Source organism: Homo sapiens, chromosome 10 (assembly GCF_000001405.40).
Source record: "Homo sapiens chromosome 10, GRCh38.p14 Primary Assembly".
Taxonomy (NCBI): Eukaryota; Metazoa; Chordata; class Mammalia; order Primates; family Hominidae; genus Homo; species Homo sapiens.
In genome coordinates this window covers 58,618,421-58,636,537 of record NC_000010.11, presented here as the reverse complement: position 1 = coordinate 58,636,537, position 18,117 = coordinate 58,618,421, and the positions used below count along the sequence as shown (strand labels likewise).

General features: G+C 37.9%; 1 protein-coding gene across 11 annotated transcripts in view; it reads right to left on the bottom strand.

Annotated features, from left to right (window-relative positions):
- The window catches only part of BICC1 (BicC family RNA binding protein 1), a 319,216-nt gene that overhangs the window by 194,898 nt on the left and 106,201 nt on the right, over positions 1 to 18,117 (bottom strand). For 10 of the 11 annotated variants that reach the window (XM_047425780.1, XM_047425781.1, XM_047425778.1 and 7 more), the window contains one exon: positions 15,637 to 15,683. The exons of the other annotated variant lie outside the window; for it this stretch is intronic. Coding sequence is in view for 7 of the 10 variants with exons in the window: in XM_047425778.1 (XP_047281734.1) it covers positions 15,637 to 15,683 (47 nt within the window). In the remaining 3 variants the exon portion in view is untranslated. The remainder of the gene's footprint in view (positions 1 to 15,636; positions 15,684 to 18,117) is intronic. 11 annotated transcript variants of the gene reach the window in all.

Genomic DNA, 18,117 nt, shown 5'->3' with positions numbered 1-18,117 from the left:
TCACCCAAGTTTTAAAAACCTACTTCCTAGGCCCTATCTCAGACAACAGCTCCTTAAGAACACCCATAGGATCTTTTTGTGTGTTGGGGAGGAGGTGGGGAGGCAGGAGGATGGGACAAGATAGCACTACCTCTTATTGCTTTAATAATATTTAATTTACTGTGTTTTCCCATTAAGAAAGACAAATACGAAATTTAATTTCTCTTGAAAGAGCACAGATTTTTTAAAGTTATGAATTGTCAGTGTAATAAACAGTGTTGAATTGGGTTTTCTCCCCAGATTCAACAAATGGCTAGTCATATGACTCAGATAAATCACTTAAAAATGCTAGGTCTTATCCTCCTTTGTACACTTGCTAAACTAGGAAATCTTTAAGGTCCCATACAGTCCCACAACATCACAATTCTACAGAGTTACTTCACCCCACCAAATACACAGAACAATGTGTTAGGTCCCAAAACATTTGAGTGTCTCAATTCAAGATTCAGAAACTAGTTGGACTATTAGTGTATCAACTCATAACAAGAGAACAAAACAAGAAAATTGACTTTCTAAGAAAATCCAAACAAAGTGACCACAGATATGTAAGTTTAACATATAAAGAAGTGGGAACTGTCATCACAGGCTGGGCTAGTCCAGAAAATGCCAAATGACGGACTTTTAAATATATAACTAATGGAGAGGGCCAGAGACAAAGAGGAAAAAAAGACGTTCTAGTTGGGGATATATTTTTATGTATCGCTGTTAGAGTCAAGAACGATCAGGGCTTGGGGATACCACTGGTTGACAAGAGAAAGGCTTGAGTTGAGGGGCAATGGGAAACAAAGTTATATCAGTAGGAAGGGATCAGACTATAATAAACATTTGATGTCAAAGGTGGATATTTATTTAATTTTACCTGGAAGGCAATGGTGAGTTGTCAGAGAAATTCTGAGCATGGATATAAAAAGGTAACAGTTGTCTTTTAGAAAAGAATTGTGTACCTTGGAATAATTTACACTCTCACCCTTCTGATAAGGCTCACTGAGGAACTTTTCAAGAGAGCCTCTGTTGTATAGCTACATCACATCCATTCCTAACACAGATCTCAGTAAATGAAAAAAATGAATTTCCAACTGATTCACTGATTGTTTAATTTTGTAGAATGGAGTTTCTAGCAAGAAAAAGAAATCATTTCATCAAACAATACTGGGAAGTGCCACAAATTACATATTTCTGTAACAAATGCATAAAATGCAAATAACCAGCACATTTAAGTTTGCAACCAGTTTTATAGGAAAGAACTATTTTTTAACTGTAAATGCCTGTATTTCTCAAACTTATCTTACCATGGAACTTTTTTCATATATTTATTAAGATAGTGCAGAACTAGTATCTCACAGTATACCCTCTAAGAGAATGAAACTGAACAGAAAGTTAAATCCATCAGTAATTGACACACATACACAAAATACATATACAGTTGACTCTTGAACAACAGGAGTTTAAACTGTGACGGGTCTACCACAGATTTTCTTTTGCCTCTGCCACCCCTGAGACAAGACCAACCTCTCCTCTTTTTCCACCTTCTCAGCCTACTCAACATGAATATGATGAGGATAAAGACCTTTATGATGATCCACTTCCACTTAATGAATAATTAATGTATTTTCTCTTCCTTACGATTTTCTTAAAAATATTTTATTTTCTCTAGATTATTGTAAGAATACGTTATACCATATATATAACATACAAAATGCATGTTATTTGATGATTTTATCAGTAAGGCTTCTGGTCAACACTAGGCTATCAATAGTTCAGCTTTTGGGGAGAGAAAATTATACACAAATTTTTGACTGCACAGTGGGGTGGGGGCTGGCAACCCTCGCCACTGTGTTGTTCAAGAGTAAAATGTAATTCCTTTCCTTTTATCAGAGGTAGAGACCAACAAGAATTTACAACTTTTCTTTGTACCTACCCATACTGCACATCAGTAGTTCCCAACCTTAGCTACAGAGTAATGTCACCTGAGGAGCTTTTCCAAAAAATACTAATGCTAAGGCCTTACTTTCAGAACAAATAAATCAGAATCTCTAGTTAAAGCATCAATAATTTTTAAAAGTTCCTCAGACAAACCTGTACCTGGGGTTAAGAATGGTGCTCTAGATTAAGAGTTTACTATCACTAAAATGGCTGACGGTAGAACTGGAGAAATGGGAACAGGAACATGAATTCCAGTTAATAATTCAACTGAAAATCTGCCCCTAGGCCAGGCGTGGTGGCTCACACCTGTAATCCCAGCACTTTGGCAGGCCGAGGCGGTGGATCACCTGAGGTCAGGAGTTTGAGAACAGTCTGGCTAACATAGTGAAATGCTGTTTCTACTAAAAATACAAAAAATTAGCCAGTCGTGGTGGCGTGCACCTGTAATCCCAGCTACTCAGGAGGCTGAGGCAGAATTGCTTGAACCTGGGAGGTGGAGGTTGCAGTGAGCTGACATTGCGCCATTGCACTCCAGCTTGGGCAACGAGAGCAAAACTCCATCTAAAAAAAAAAAAAAAAAGAAAAGAAAAAAAAAAAAGAAAAAGAAAAGAAATTCCGCCCCTAAAAGTTATTACATTTATTCTGCATATGATACTGGATCTCAAATATCCTTGGCTTTCTCCTCTGTACTTGTTCATCAATATACTGGTGGTTAAATGCTAATACCAGAGTGTGCTAAACTGATAGTGAATGATTTCAGGGAATCTTTTATACAAATGGAACCCAATTTTCTATTACTTGCAAAATTTGAATCATTTGTCTCTTTTTCTCAGAAGTTTTCATGTGATTTCCATAAAACACAGCCAAAAGTAAACCACAAAGTCGAAACTTCCAACTGTTTTCCTGGAAAATACATTTTTTTTAAACTGCATATCATCAAAAGTTCAGAACTTAATTAAATGATGCCATTTATTTTACAGCTGTCATTCTGAACTTGGCAATTTTATCATTCAGAATGTAATGATGGCATCACAATAGCTGAAAACTCATGTTTCAAAGCATAGTTAAAAGTTAATCTTGCTAGGAATGCATTTATCATTTAGGAAGGTAGTGGAAAAAAGTAATAATTTGTCCCTTACCTGGCACTAATGAAGTCAGATGCTGCAAAGCAACTATACTGCAAAATGTTTGGTCACCCTGGCTATCATTTTTAATTCTCATCCTCTTTGAGTAGACAATTGTATTAGTTTGTTCTCATGCTGCTAATAAACACATACCCAAGACCGGGTAATTTATCAAAGAAAGAGGTTTAATTGGCTCACAGTTGCACATGGCTGCAGAGGCCTCACAATCGTGGTGGAAGGCAAATGGGGAGCAAAGTCATGTCTTACAGGGCTTGTGCAGGGGAACTCCCATTTAAAAAACCATCAGATCTCCCAGACTTATTCACTATCACAAGAAAAGTATAGGGGAAACATCCCCCATGATTCAGTTATCTCCACCTGGCCCCACCCTTGACACGTGGGGATTATTACAATCCAAGGTGAGATTTGGGTGGGAACACAGCCAAACCATATCAATAATGAATAGAAACAATATGATCTCCTAACTTTTAGATTTCAAATCCTTCTACATATCCTCTAAACCTTTCACTTAAAGAATTTTTAAATAACTAGCTCAGATGAAGTGATATCTATCTATCTATCTATCTATCCATCTATCTATCTATCTATGTAAAACCTTTAATCTGTTTTCTGGGCTATATGAGAAAAAAACAGTCTCCTCTGTCCTTTATTCTGCCTTTGCAAAGGCAATCAGTTGGTTCTTTCTGCTGGAAATGCCTATTTTGTCTCCATTAGGACATTCAGGTCATGGAGTCACAGGTCTGGAAGGCATCTTAATCTAATCTAAACTGCCCCCTGCTCAGAAACTGTGCCACAAAGCCTTTCCTCACTTCACCCAACATACTAGTTAAATTCCTTTTACCTAGTCCTCAAAACGCACCTCAAACACTTTCTCCCAAGAAATCCATCTTCCCTGAGTCCTCAGAATAGGGGAAAAAAAAAAAAATCACTCCCTCCGTTTCCTCCATTGTAAAGCTCTCGCCACACTGGATGGCACTTCTGTGCCACTTCTCCTCTGGAGTATGCCCCTCTTGAGGAGAGAAGCCATAGGGCCACCCTTCCCCCTCTGTAGAACTGTACATGGTATAGTGTCTGGCTCAGAGGGAGGGCAATAATGTCTCATGAATGGCGTCCTTAGCAGCTCTGTGAAGCCTGCACACATGCATGCTAACACCATCTTACAAGCATCTTTTCCCTTCAGAATAAAAGCTCTTTGAAAGTTAAAATTACTTCTTCTTTAGTATTCTCATGGAATTTAGAAGAAGGCAGGATAATTTTTGGATTCCCAGATTATGAGGTAGCCCATCATATTAATATATGAAAAGGACAACAAAGTGATATTCAAATGAGAAGACACACATACCCACTTTCCAACTACATACCGAAAACTATCACTTCCTTGATCTTGTTAATACCTTCCCCTCTCAACATACTGACTGAAGCCAAGAAAAGCTTAGGCTCTGGAACCTACCAACCTAGGAAGCTTCTCAAAGAGCACCTCCTACTGATTTACACATGAATCATTGTTTTACAAATGCCAATAGGAAAACATAACAGGAAGAAGTTCTATTTAAGAAAACAAACCCAAACAACTTTGGGTTTAAAGTGTTCTTATTCACTGGAGATTAAGGTTTCCTGGTAACTCCAGAATAAACAGGCACGTGGAAATTGAAGCTGGTTATTTTTCTGTTTTGTTTTCTTCTTTCATAAAATTAGTGATGAACTCAAGAAAGAGAACCAAGCAGGAAACACAGAGGCCTCTATATTTTGCTTATTGTCAGTTACAACTTTGGCTAAATTCCCTCCTTCCCTACTTATCGGTACTTTGCCCATTGAGAAGCAGAAAATTTGAATAACTGGATAATCCAGGGTGACAAAAGTAACAAAAGTAGCAAATGCTAAGAAGAAAAGCCATATGTACACATTTCTTGATAATTTTGATTTCACAAAAAAAAAGAAAGAAGAAAGATAATGAAATTTATTTTTCCACTACTTAAAATGCCAAAAGACAACTCCTTTTAGGAAGAAATTTACATCCAATGAATTTAAAAAAAAAGAAAGAAAAAAACCTGCCAAAGAGCCAGTTTGGGACAAGCCGCAACTGTTAAACATATAAAATGAGAGAGTAACACTAGGATATTTAATACATCTATTCAAGGATCATGTTACTTAGAGAGGCATAGAGTAACAAAGCATTCTCCGTAACTATCAATAAGAAAAATAGAAAATATTTATCTGCCATGCTAACCTTTCTGCATGTTGGCTGTCTACAAACTTCCCACAGAAGTGTAAGAGGGATGAAAACAATATTAATGCCAATGACAAAGAGAAAGGAAATTCTGATATGCAGGATAAAAGCTCAGTAACATAAAAGGACAGCACTCACTTTTTTCACCTAACATATTAACGTCAATAACCCCATTATTTCTTGAATAATGCTGGTAACTGACTAGCAAAAAGAAACATATATACTTTATAGTATATATGTAATATATGGAGAGAGTTCACCATACACTGGTATAGTATGGTCTAATATTTTACCGTAGTATTGCTGCAGTATACATATTTTAAATGACAGATTTGACAGAAATACCTTTTATATAAAGAGCACTGCTCCTTTAAAGATATAACTTAATTTGGGGCACTCACTGAGGAGCTAAACTACTCTACAAACACCAAATTTTGTTAACATGTGAATGCATAAACCCTTTGAAGAAAAGGGGATTATGCAATTATCCCAGTTAACTGAATGTCTTTTATGCATCACAGTTGAATTCATGATTTAGGCCTTGTAGAGTTTCCCAACTACATCAGGAGAAGGGGAAGACTCTAGGGACACCTATAGATCAGAACCTGAAAGCTAGGCGTGGTGGCGCATGTCAATAGTCTCAGCTACTCAGGAGGCTAAGGTGGGAGGATGGCTGGAGCCCAGGAGTTCTAGGCTGTAGTGAGCTATGATCAGGCCACCACACTCCAGCCTGGGCAACAGAGCAAAACCCATCTCTTTAAACAAAACAAAACAAAAACAGGAAAAGAACCTGAGATGCATCCCAAACTGTGCCAACTCCAAGTAGGAGCATCGCTCACTCTGGAACATCTTTTTCCCCCTCTGTCTTCTGCTTCATGCTTCCCTCCGTGGATGGGTCTTCACCACTTATTCACAGCTTCTCCCTCTCCTAACCCCAGCTTTCCCATGATCAACAGCACCACTCCTGGCCTCTCCCTCACTCCATGCTACCTCATGACCCTCCCCATTCTCTTCTCATTCCCACTCTTGATCTTAGCTTCCTAACTCAATAGAGATGAGTCTGGCTCAGCTGAGTTCACAGAGCATGCCACATAGGTCACGTACACTGTATAGAGAAGGTTTGTTGCTGCATGTGGCACCCACATCCTGGCCCAAGCAGCTGTGGCTGGAAGAGCAGGGAAGCAGAGTCGAGTGGTGCAAAATAAGGCCTTCTCCTCTCCTTTTTCATGCAGCAAGGTAGGAGCTATAATCATGTAAACTACAAAGCCTAGAAATTTAAAAGGGCTATTTAGAAAGGAAAGCAAGTTGAATTGAATAACAGTGCCTAAAGGTTAAAGAATTGAATTGGCCAAAAAACAAATTTTAACGCAACATACTTTGCCAAGATAAAATGCAAAAACATCAAATACATCAAGCCAAAGATCATTGTTAAGAAACCAGAAAGATTCCCAAACTCAAATTTAGAAACGATTCATGAGATGACAACAAATCATTACTGTAAATCTCCTAGATGAAATTTAAAAAGTAAGGTACCAAAGGTACAAACTTCAAAATGATAAACCTTAGTGTGATTCTGAATCTATTTAAACAAAATACAAAGTACTACAAAATCCATACATTTATTTAGTATATTAATTTGCCCCCAGCCTTTTGGTTGTCCCTCTAATATGCCACAATGACCCTAATTCAGAGCCCTACTTAGCAAAACTTACAGTTTTAGGCAGAACCTCTCTCACTATAGATGCATAGCCCATTAATGTGGGCATGATAATTGCCGATTTAAATAAAAACATTTATCTTGTATTAATAGTAGCCAAGCATAAAGTCAGAATATCGCTAAGTTCTGGCTGCCACCAACAACCTGTATAAACTTGAAAAAAAAAAATCAATCTACGACTATTTAGACCACGATATCCCCGACTAGAAGAAAAAGACAATACCACATCCAGCTTTAAACTGCATTGATTCTTCTGTGAAGTCATTTTAAATCAGTAAAGCTTAAAGTTCTTTACTACATGTTACTTTAGCCAGATTAAAAGGCACTACACCCAGCCCATCATCTTAGACTGTCACCCTGTGGCTGAGTCCTTTCCCCCAGCTAACTCAAGGAGTCCAGAGAGAAGAAAAAAGCATGCAGGAGTTCTCACTATCAATTCAATGTCCAAACCATGTGAAATCTCCCAGAGTGAGGCTTTCCACACTTTCACAGTCTAGCCACCACATCTGCCACATTGTCTCCAAGCTACATGTCAGGTCAAGAGCTTAGAGTGACAGGCACAACATATGAGTGACATCTATGGAGGCCTTTACCAGCCAGTCAACAGTCTAGAAGTATCCTCATTTTATGTTATGTACCTAGCAATGACATTGGAGCCAACCTTTTCTCTTCAGTTGGGTGAAGAATGACAAGTAATGTCGATTCTTCATGTCAGTGACCAATGTAACAGTGCCTAAAGGTTATATAATATTTAGGTACTTCTGGATCACCTTAATATTATGAATATTATGGCCTCATTATAATTGCACTGGCCAGGCTCTATCCAAAACACTATACCCAGATATTGTTGCCACTTTTAAAATGGGACACTGATCTTGCTACTGAAAGCGAAAAGAATGATAAGGGTCTGAAAACTAAGTCATATGATAAATAAGAAACTAAGTATCTTTGGTCTGAAGAAAAGAAGGCACAGAGATGTAAAAAAATCTTAAAAAAATTTTACACCTCTGAATGTCAAAACAAGGGCAAATGGATGAAAGGGGGGACATTTTTCTAAAAATTAACACTACCTAGAAATGATCCACCTTGATGATCTGAAACTTGTTCTGTCTTTATAACTGTTATATAAAAGACACAGAAGTAACCTCAGTATGATGGGAAGTCTGACTTCTTAAATGTTTTTCAGCAAAAAAACTGCATGCTCTTAAACTGCAATAATTAATCCATTAACAACTTCAATCTATCTTAGTTATTGTTATCTGTTTTTCTTCATAAGATGGTAGTTGTTTTTAATCCTGATTATAAAAGTAATGGAGGTCCATTGTAGGAAAGTACAGAAAGAAAATAAAAACCAATCACAATCTCACCACTGAGAGTCACGGTTAACATTTTGGCATAATTCTTGCCCAGTCATTTATTAGGCATAAACATATATAACAAAATTTGAGTCAAGCTATTTATATGCCTTTTGTCCTAATTTTTGTACCTATCTAGTAACCAATTTCAACATGTCATTAAATATTTCCAAAAAGTATGATTTTTAATGCCTACATAATAATCCAATGTCTGATATACCACATTTCAAATATTACATGGCTGAGTACTTAGGTTATTTTTAATTTTATTTTAATTATTACAATATTGTGACAATGAATATCTTTATATATGGATTTTCAGACACATCTCTGATAATGTTCTACGTAATATATTAAGACCAAGTTTGTCCTATGCCCCCGCTAAGATATAAAAACAATTTGAATCACATGACATTGAAAAGACAATTAAATAGACACACAATGCAAAGGCAAGGCTAAAATTGGAACTAATCAAATGCACTCCTTCCTCACAAACAGCTAATGCCACCCTCTTCAAAAGTTGCTTCTGACCCACACAAAAATGTTTACGTTTGCATATTATCAGTTAGGGTAATTTTTATCTACATAATGTCGAAATAGTTCCAAAATCTTAATATCAACCATAAATGAGGAAGTCTGTATCTCAAGATCTTTCGATTAAGGGAAATGCCGACAAGTACAGGAATTAATGTAGGCATTTAAGTCATAAAGGGAGAACACTTTACAAAATAATATACAAACCTTTTTAAACTAATGCCAATAAGTCTCTTAACTAGACCTTTCCATGGTTACTTGCACTACAAGTGTGTAATCCAGGGTCCTGTCTTGTGACCCTTCTTAAAAGACCTATTTTCATGAATTCAATTTCATTTTCTACATGATCCAATGCATTGAGTTTGGTTTCAAGGAACCATTTTAATCAATAATGACTAAACTTTCATCAGATGTTGATTAAAGATTATTCAATTGAACAAACTGCAGTAGTAATTAAGTTACGTTCACTATCATTGAACATACTTTTTTTTTTTTGAGATGGAGTTTTGCTCTTGTTGCCCAGGCTGGAGTGCAATGGCACAATCTTGGCTCACTGTAACCTCTGCCTCCCAGGTTCAAGCGATTCTCCTGCCTCAGCCTCCCGAGTAGATCGGATTATAGGCATGCACCATCGCCCAGCTAACTTTGTATTTTTATCAGAGACGGGGTTTCTCCATGTTGGTCAGGCTGGTCTCGAACTCCTGACCTCAGGTGATCTGCCCACCTCGGCCTCCCAAAGTGCTGGGATTACAGGCATGAGCTGCTGTGCCTGGCCATTAAACATACATTTTTAAACAATCTCAATGACATTCCTTGCTTCCATGGTTTTAGAAAAAGGAATAATACAGGAAATGTGGTTTTCATAAAGAGGTTGTGTGAAATGACTGATGAAATAAAAGAATATACCATTACAATGCAACTCGAAGCAGGTGACTCTACAACATGCTAAGAGAATATAGACTCAAAACCCAGTCTTCCTGTGTTCAAATGAACACAAGAACAAAACTTGAAAGACTAGGAGAATGATGAGCAAATTACTTGATCTTTTTCTTAATCTCTTCTCACTAACCCTGATTTACTAGATTCTTGATAGAAGGTGAGTAAATCATAAGGTATAAAAATAAGCTCCATTCTCATCTTTAGTAACTTTCTAGATGATGACTAAACAACCTTTACGGGGTGGAAAGTTACTCTTCTTTTCTAAGTCTTACAAGCAGCCAGTTATTCCTATCTAGACAGTAGTATAAAGAAAACATGATCACGGATTCTGTCACTGGAACATTCTCAGGGCAATAGTATAGTGATCGGTAATAAGAACTCACAGAATGTTAGCTTTAGGCCCTAAGTTTTCATTAGTAATGACGCACATTGATGATCATCTTTACCCAAGCTTGGGACCAACAATGTAATGCTGCACAGCTTTCTCAGTGAACCTTCAGAAACCATCAAGATATCAAATACTCTTCACTGCATACCCTTTTATAAATTTGAATTGTGAGCCATGTACGTGTATTACCTATTGAAATAAATACTAAAATTAAAGCTTTAAAATATCTGGATCTTATTTAAATTAAATTTGATTTGTGTTTAAGCACAGACTCAGTATTAGAAAAAGCACATTCATGAGCCAGAGTTAACTGAATTCACTTTTAAATAATTAAACCAAAACTTATATCCATTACTAGAGGAAATAACCCACTCGAAATATAAAAATAATCGCTAGTGGAGAAAGCCAGAGTAACTTTATTAACTCTGCTGCCCCTCAATAAAAGGACTCACCTAGTCCCCATCTAAGACCATCTAATGCACCCATTTTTAGGTACAGAGGGAACCAAATTATTTATCCCAGGAATTTCCCCCAGAAGACAACACTTGCTATTTTCCAGTCTGAAAACACCAAAAGTAATGTTTGTCTAAAAACAATGAGTTTGAAAGTTTTAAAAATAAACCACATAAGCCATCAATATCTCATTGTTTTAGTCTTACTGTTAGCCTTTGTGACAAGCCATGGTTTATAGGTCAGTTTTCCAAATAAACATCCAATATATTCAAAGAATATAACATAGTCCTACATTAAAATAAATGATGTATACTTTGAGGAAAAATACTGTACATAACCCAATGCAACAAAAAAAAACCTGGCTTTCATCAATTACAATGCTGACTGTATTTTGTCTTCTCCAACCATTGGGATTACAGATTCCTAATGCAGTTTGCTTTGATGAGTCACATGTGTAATACAATCACTGACCCTATCCCCACCTAAAATACTGTAACCCATTTTCCCCTCCAAGATCTGACCATAGTCATTTCACAAGAGAAAGAAAAAAAGAACTGATTAAAAGGAAATAGGACAGACAGTGAGTAAGCCATGAACAACTGCCCAAAGAACTGTAAAAAACTGGAAGATTGTTTCCATGTGTTTCCATTAGATAGAGCTGCCATCAGGAGTGGACGGAGAGTACTGATAAAGTTATATCCATTCCCGCCTTTTATAAGTGTAGTCAGAGCCGAAGAATAAAAAGTACTATTACAGGATAACTTTGCAAAGTTTTAACACAGAATGGATCCAATGCAAATACATAGTTTAATCTGTAATCCCATCAAACAGGGAATATTAAAAATCACTTTATATATATTTTTAATATACACAGAAAAAAGACCAAGGGTGTACAAATAGTTCTCTTTCAAAGGCAAGATTACAGTTCAGGCACTGTGGCTCATGTCTGTAATCCCAGCACTTTGGGAGGCTGAGGTGGGTGTATCACTGGAGGTCAGAAGTTCAAGACCAGCCTGGTCAACATGGTGAAAGCCCATCTCTACTAAAAACACAAAAATTAACTGGGCGTGGTGGCGCATGCCTGTAATCCCAGCTACCAGGGAGGCTGAGGCAGGAGAATCACTTGAACCCGGGAGGCAGGGGTTACAGTGAGCTGAGATCACGCCAGTGTACTCCAGCCTGGGCAACACAGCAAGACTCTGTCTCAAAAAAACACAAAAAACAAAAACAAAAAGGCAAGATTACAGATTACTTTTTTCTCTTTTTGCATGTCAATTATATACTCATTGTAGACAATTTAGAAATGACTTGTGATTAAAAAAATAGATTTAGTATAAATGACTAGGCAGTTAAATATCTATAGATCAGACTGAGTATCAAAATGTGACAAATAACATCTACAGTCTTAGTAAATTTTTCTACAGAATTATTTTCTCCATTAAAAGGTATTATAGTTTGAACTGTCCTCCAAAAAGTCGTATGTTGAAGTACTAATGCCTGGGACCTCAGAATGTGATATTTGGAAATAGGGTCACTGCAGATGTATAATAAGATGAACACACACCAGAGTAGGGTGGGCTGCTAATCCAATATAATTGGTGTCTTTATTTGGACATAGAGACAGGCACACAGAGAAAATGCCATATGAAGATCAAGGCAGAGATCCACGTGTTGCTTCCACAAGCCAAGGAACACCAAAGATCACCAGCAAACCATGGGAAGCTAAAGAAAGGCATGGAACAGATTCTCCCTCCCACAGTTAAGCCACCCAGTTTGTGGTATGGGAGCCCTAACAAATACAAAAAGTTTCAAAGTACACCACACAAAGAAATTACACTTTGATCACAGACTTTTTTTTTTCCCTAACAATCTCATTTGTGGTGAATAGTGCCTGCAAAATCAATTGTTTTCTCCAAATGTCCCAGCCCCTCCCTCCCCTCTATTGTTGCTATTAGGTAAGACTACATAACTAAGTTTTCTCCCATAGAGTGTGAGAGGAAGTGACAGGTGCCACATTCAGGCCTGGGCGTTACAACCATGGCGTGCCTCTCTTCAATATTCTATCTCCCTCACCAACACACAATTGGACATGGTTGTGACCAAGCTTCAACAACGGAGATGAAGGTCATGCTTAGGGACAATCCAGATATGTCTTAGAAGGAGCCTGGGTCACTGAATGACAGCATGGGACACAGCTACCAACCCAGCTGGAAGACTCTCCTTAGAACGTTACATAAGAGGACAACGAATGACTCTGCTCTTTAAGACACTATATTGTTGGGGTTTTGGGGATTTTTTGCTATAACATCTTAGGCTTTTACATTTTATCCTTTATTGTGTTTGGGAAATATATCATTTCAAACCCATGCAGCAAAACAGTGTATAGAAAACTGGGTAGATCTCTGGAAAAAACAGTAACGTTGACTCAATGGAAGAAGTGTATAATAAGCTTAACAACTACTATTACAGCCTCAAATTTGAGATAATATGTTTCACAATCTTATTATCTGTTAAACTGAAATGCAAGCTCTTTATGGAAATATACCAATTCTTATTTTGGAAGATTTTTAAAATTAATTTTATTATTTTCTAATTCGAAAACTTTAATGAGAGCAATTAATTAAATTGAGCAAAATTTAGTATAGTCATTATGATTTTACATATATTTTTATGGTACAAAAAAACATAAAGTTACATATGAAAAGTCTCACACTCCTTCTCAAATCTCTACATAGGGAGAGGCACTATGAAGCTAGGTAGATATCCTTCCAGGCTTAGAAAAGTTGAGTAGCTGAAGTTTAAACTCAGCTAAAGAGAGGTTTTAACTTTTGTCATGCACACCTCAAAGTAAAAACTAAGAAACATTCCAATCACAAGCCTAGATCCTTCATATTTGCATTATTTTAGAGAGAGAAAAATACGAAGATGCTAGTGAACAGCTATGTAGCCTATTTCTTAAATGCTTCCCAAAATGTCATGTAAAACTAGAATACATGTGACTGCATGCAAGTTCCTGGAGGACAATTCAGTATTTCTCCATTACTTCATTCTACTGTAGATGAACCATAATGTCTACTTCTGTCCAGTCAAAATAGCAGAAAAATGACTCTCTGGAATTTGGGCTGTTTCTAAGTTAGAGATTTTTTGCTGGATGAGTATGCAAATCCTATACGGACACCTATCTATGGAAAAGACAGTTCCCATTGAACTAAAGAAACAAATGAGAAGATAAAATGTACTCCCATCTAGTTATTCAGAGACCTCATTAATCTGTGACCAAGAATAGAATCTATGACTCTAACTCATAGTCTGTGGGACGCACACATGTTCCTGGATTCAAACATGTGTTTCCATTTAAACTGCTGGAATGTATATATGTCTCTGCAAACAGTGAGAAATATTAGGAAATCTAAGAATGAAAGTCCTTTATGATCATATACACCATATTTTGACTCAGCTTTTAAATTGTCTGAAATCACAAAGGTGGAGCATCTGTTTTTTACATCTATCTGTGAGTTAAAGAAGAACAATGAAGAAGAATCCTTCCACTGACAGCATCTATTTTTACCATCAGAGCCAACCCAAGGGAAATCTATGATTTCTGCTATTTGTTTTCTTTTCATTTTTTTTTTCTTTGAGACAGGGACTTACTCTGTCACCCAGGCTGGAGTGCAGTGGCACGATCATGGCTCACTGCAGTCTCAACTTCCTGGGCTCAGGTGATCCTCTCACCTCAGCCTTCAGAGGAGCTGGAACTACAGGTGCACATCATCACACCTGGCTAATTTGGGTTTTTTGTTTGTTTTTGTGGTAGAGGAGAGATTTCTCCATGTTGCCCAGGCTGGATTATTCTATTCTATTCTATTCTATTCTATTCTATTCTATTCTATTCTATTCTATTCTATTCTATTCTAATTTTAGAGACAAAGTCTCACTCTGTTGCCCAGGCTGGAGTGCAGTGGCACAATCTCAGCTCACTGCAACCTCTGTCTTCCGGGTTCAAGTGACTCTCGTGCCTCAGCCTTCCAAGTAACTGGGATTACAGGCATCTGCGACCACACCGGGCTAACTTTTATATTTTTAGTAGAGACAGGCTTTTGGCCAGGCTGGTCTCAAACTCCTGACCTCAAGTGATCCACCTGCCTCAGCTTCCCAAAGCACTAGGATTATAGGCACACACCACCATGCCCTGCCCCAGGCTGGTCTTTGATTCCTGGACTCAAGTAATCTGATAGCCTCGGCCTCTCAAAGTGGTGGGATTACAGGCATGAGCCACTGCATCCAGCCTATTCGTCTTCTCTTGTCTTACCCTTGTTGCTAAGCCTGCCCCAGCTAAGGCCAGGGCACTTAGAAATGCTCGGGTATTCAGTATAAGTTGGAGATTAACCAATGTCAGATAACACCAAGTCAGGGGGTACAGTACCTAAACTGCATCAGCCTGAGCCTATAAATTTAGCAAAGGATGGAAAACTAGCAGTCTGGCACATTCTATTTGGCCAGTAGAACATTTTAAAATTTGTTTTAATTTAAATATCTTTAGAAAAGCTCCCCCACCATATTCACCATATAGGATAGTGTACCTTACCTTGCACAATAACCCCTTCCTATGTCACATGCCAGCCAAATGAAGTGTGAATGCCACATGAATTGATCCACCTCTGAGCCCTCTTACATTTTGCTTATTTGCCTTTAAGCAAAAATTTCATTAGATTTTCCCTGGAAGGAGCCTTCTTGGAATGGTTAAGTTTCATACAGCATCCCCTCTTTTCCTGGCTAGCTCTGAGTGTTTCCAGCTCCCGTATAGAAACCTGTTCTCCTCCACATGAAGGGGAGCGTTCGGTGGCTTCTAGGGTAGCTGTTGAGATAAGTATATTTCCTCTTACTTATCACCATGACAAGAGTAAAAGACAACTTACCTTTTGAAAAAAGTCTTCCCCACTTCTGCCTTTCCCTTCAGCAGCAGCTGTAAATAAAAATGTGCACATTTAAAATACTTTTTCAATGTATGCATTCAAAAAACTTTCGAGCATCAGATATGAGAATGCAAAAGCAAACAAGATGCCAGCCTTGCTCTCCCACAGCTCAGTGCCTGCTAATATGCCTCACTGGGATGCAAAACTGGTAAAGACTAGCAATCCAATCCATCAATTACATGTCTCTGGATTATTTAACACTCTTTTGCTTTGTCTGAAAGACTCACAAACCCCTGCACACTTAGATGATGAAAGTGATCTCGTCCTTTCATAGTTAAAGAACTATATGAATAAATGCAACTCTCAAAGTAATCAACTGTAGCATTCCAAGCACTTCCTATCTGTGATCAATCCCAGGCACAAAGATGGCTCATGTATATGGCCTACTTCTGAGCTGTTTCCATTTTATGCTTTATAAAGTCTATATAATCTACTTGAATTTCAGCTGGCATCATATACTTTTAATTCACTCCTTCATTTGTATATACAAAGAGAGAAAAAAAAACATGAGAATTAAACAGTAATGGTGACGGTCACAGCCAACAATAAAATTGCATGTAACATTAATTAAAATATCACTGTATTTTCATATCATTTTTATAGATAAATGGTAGCCCATAAATACAAGACAAACCCATTTCTCAGTCTGTGTTCATAAGTCTTGTGACTATGAACATTTTGTATTCATTTGTTTTGAGGGGTGGGGAATTTGACTAAAAGGAGAGAAGTGATAAAGAGCCAATAGCATCTTGCTTGCAACAGACTCAGACTGCATCTTTCTAAGGCCAAACAGGACTCTGACTCAGGTGTAGGTGGAATAGTGATTAATGAGAGAAGCCTGGCCAGGACAAAGAAAGGTACTGAAGTGAGAACTACTGGAAATTAAAGTCTGGAAGACCACGGTAAACCAAACACCTGCTAGGTAATACCTCAGCACAGCCATGTTTGTGTGCAGAAGTGCATATGTGTGTGTGTCCAGAACACTTGTTAAAATGACTAAAGACCCAAGAAATGTGGCAGAGCAATCACTTAAGAATCACATTTGTCACTTAGCAAGTTTTGACAAGCATCTACCATAATTTTGACATTGTTAAGTGAAAGATTCAAAACTTGGGAGGCCGAGGCAGACGGATCACAAGGTCAAGAGATCAAGACCATCCTGGCAAACATAGTGAAACCCTGTCTCTACTAAAAATACAAAAATTAGCTGGGTGTGGTGGTGTGCGCCTGTAGTTCCAGCTATTTGAGAGGCTGAGGCAGGAGAATTGCTTGAACCCGGGAGGCAGAGGTTGCAGTGAGCCGAGATTGCACCACTGCACTCCAGCCTGGCGACAGAGTAAGACTCTCTCAAAAAAAAAAAAAAAAAGATTCAAAACTTGAGAAATTCTCTCTGCCCTCAAAGAAATAACAAGTATTTACATTCTTTTTTCACCAACTTAAATTTTACAGTTAAATATAAGACATCTTCTCTATTTTTATAGAAATGTGTATTTTTTACCAACACATTTTTATCCAAACAACAGATTGCAGAGTACATGTTTCTGGAAATTCCAAGGGCAATCTGAGAAAACATAAAAACAAAGGCTAAAAAGGAATTTAAAAATTGTATTCTAATATGTGGTAGGGCTGAATAATGACTCCTAGCAAAGGTGTTCATGTACTAATCCCTGGAATCTTACACGGCAAAAGAGATTTTGTAGATGTGATTAAATAAAAAGATAGGAAGATTATATTGAATTAGCCAGATGGGCCCAATGTAATCGTGTCCTTAATGAAAGAAGGAGGGGGCTCAGAGTACAAGAAAGTGATGTAACAATGGAAGCACAAGGAGAGATGGATACATGACAACAAAGGACAGATCAGAGATGACAAAGATTTGAAGACAGGGGAACAGGCCATGAGCCAAGGAATGTAGGTGGCCTCTAAGAGCTGGAAAAGTCAAAGAAATTATCTTTCCCTATGGCCTCTGTAGAGAATACAGCTCTGCTAACACCTTGCTTTCAGCCCAGTGAAAACCACTTCAAATTTCAGACCCAAAAAGTAAGATTTCTGTTGTTTTAAGCTACTACACTGTGGCAACTTGTTACAGCAGCAAAAGCAAACTAACCTATAATGCTAATGTCTTTTTAACTTTTATTTTTGCACAAATTCCACATCATCAATAGGATGAACTGCACCCAGACACTGTGTCACGCCAAGTGTCAGGTTCCAGACCAAGCGGGAGACCAAGGGGAGGGGGTGGATGAATGACGAGCAGCTGAAAGAACACTCGAGGAATCATGGGGAGTTGTGACATGGCTTTATTCTCTCTCTTGGTGTGAGTGAGCCTGGGCGTGAACTGTGGGTGCAAACCTGGGCGCGAGCCAACCCAGGCGCAAGCCATATGTACAGCGTCAGCAGGATAATTATACCTTTTACAGACAA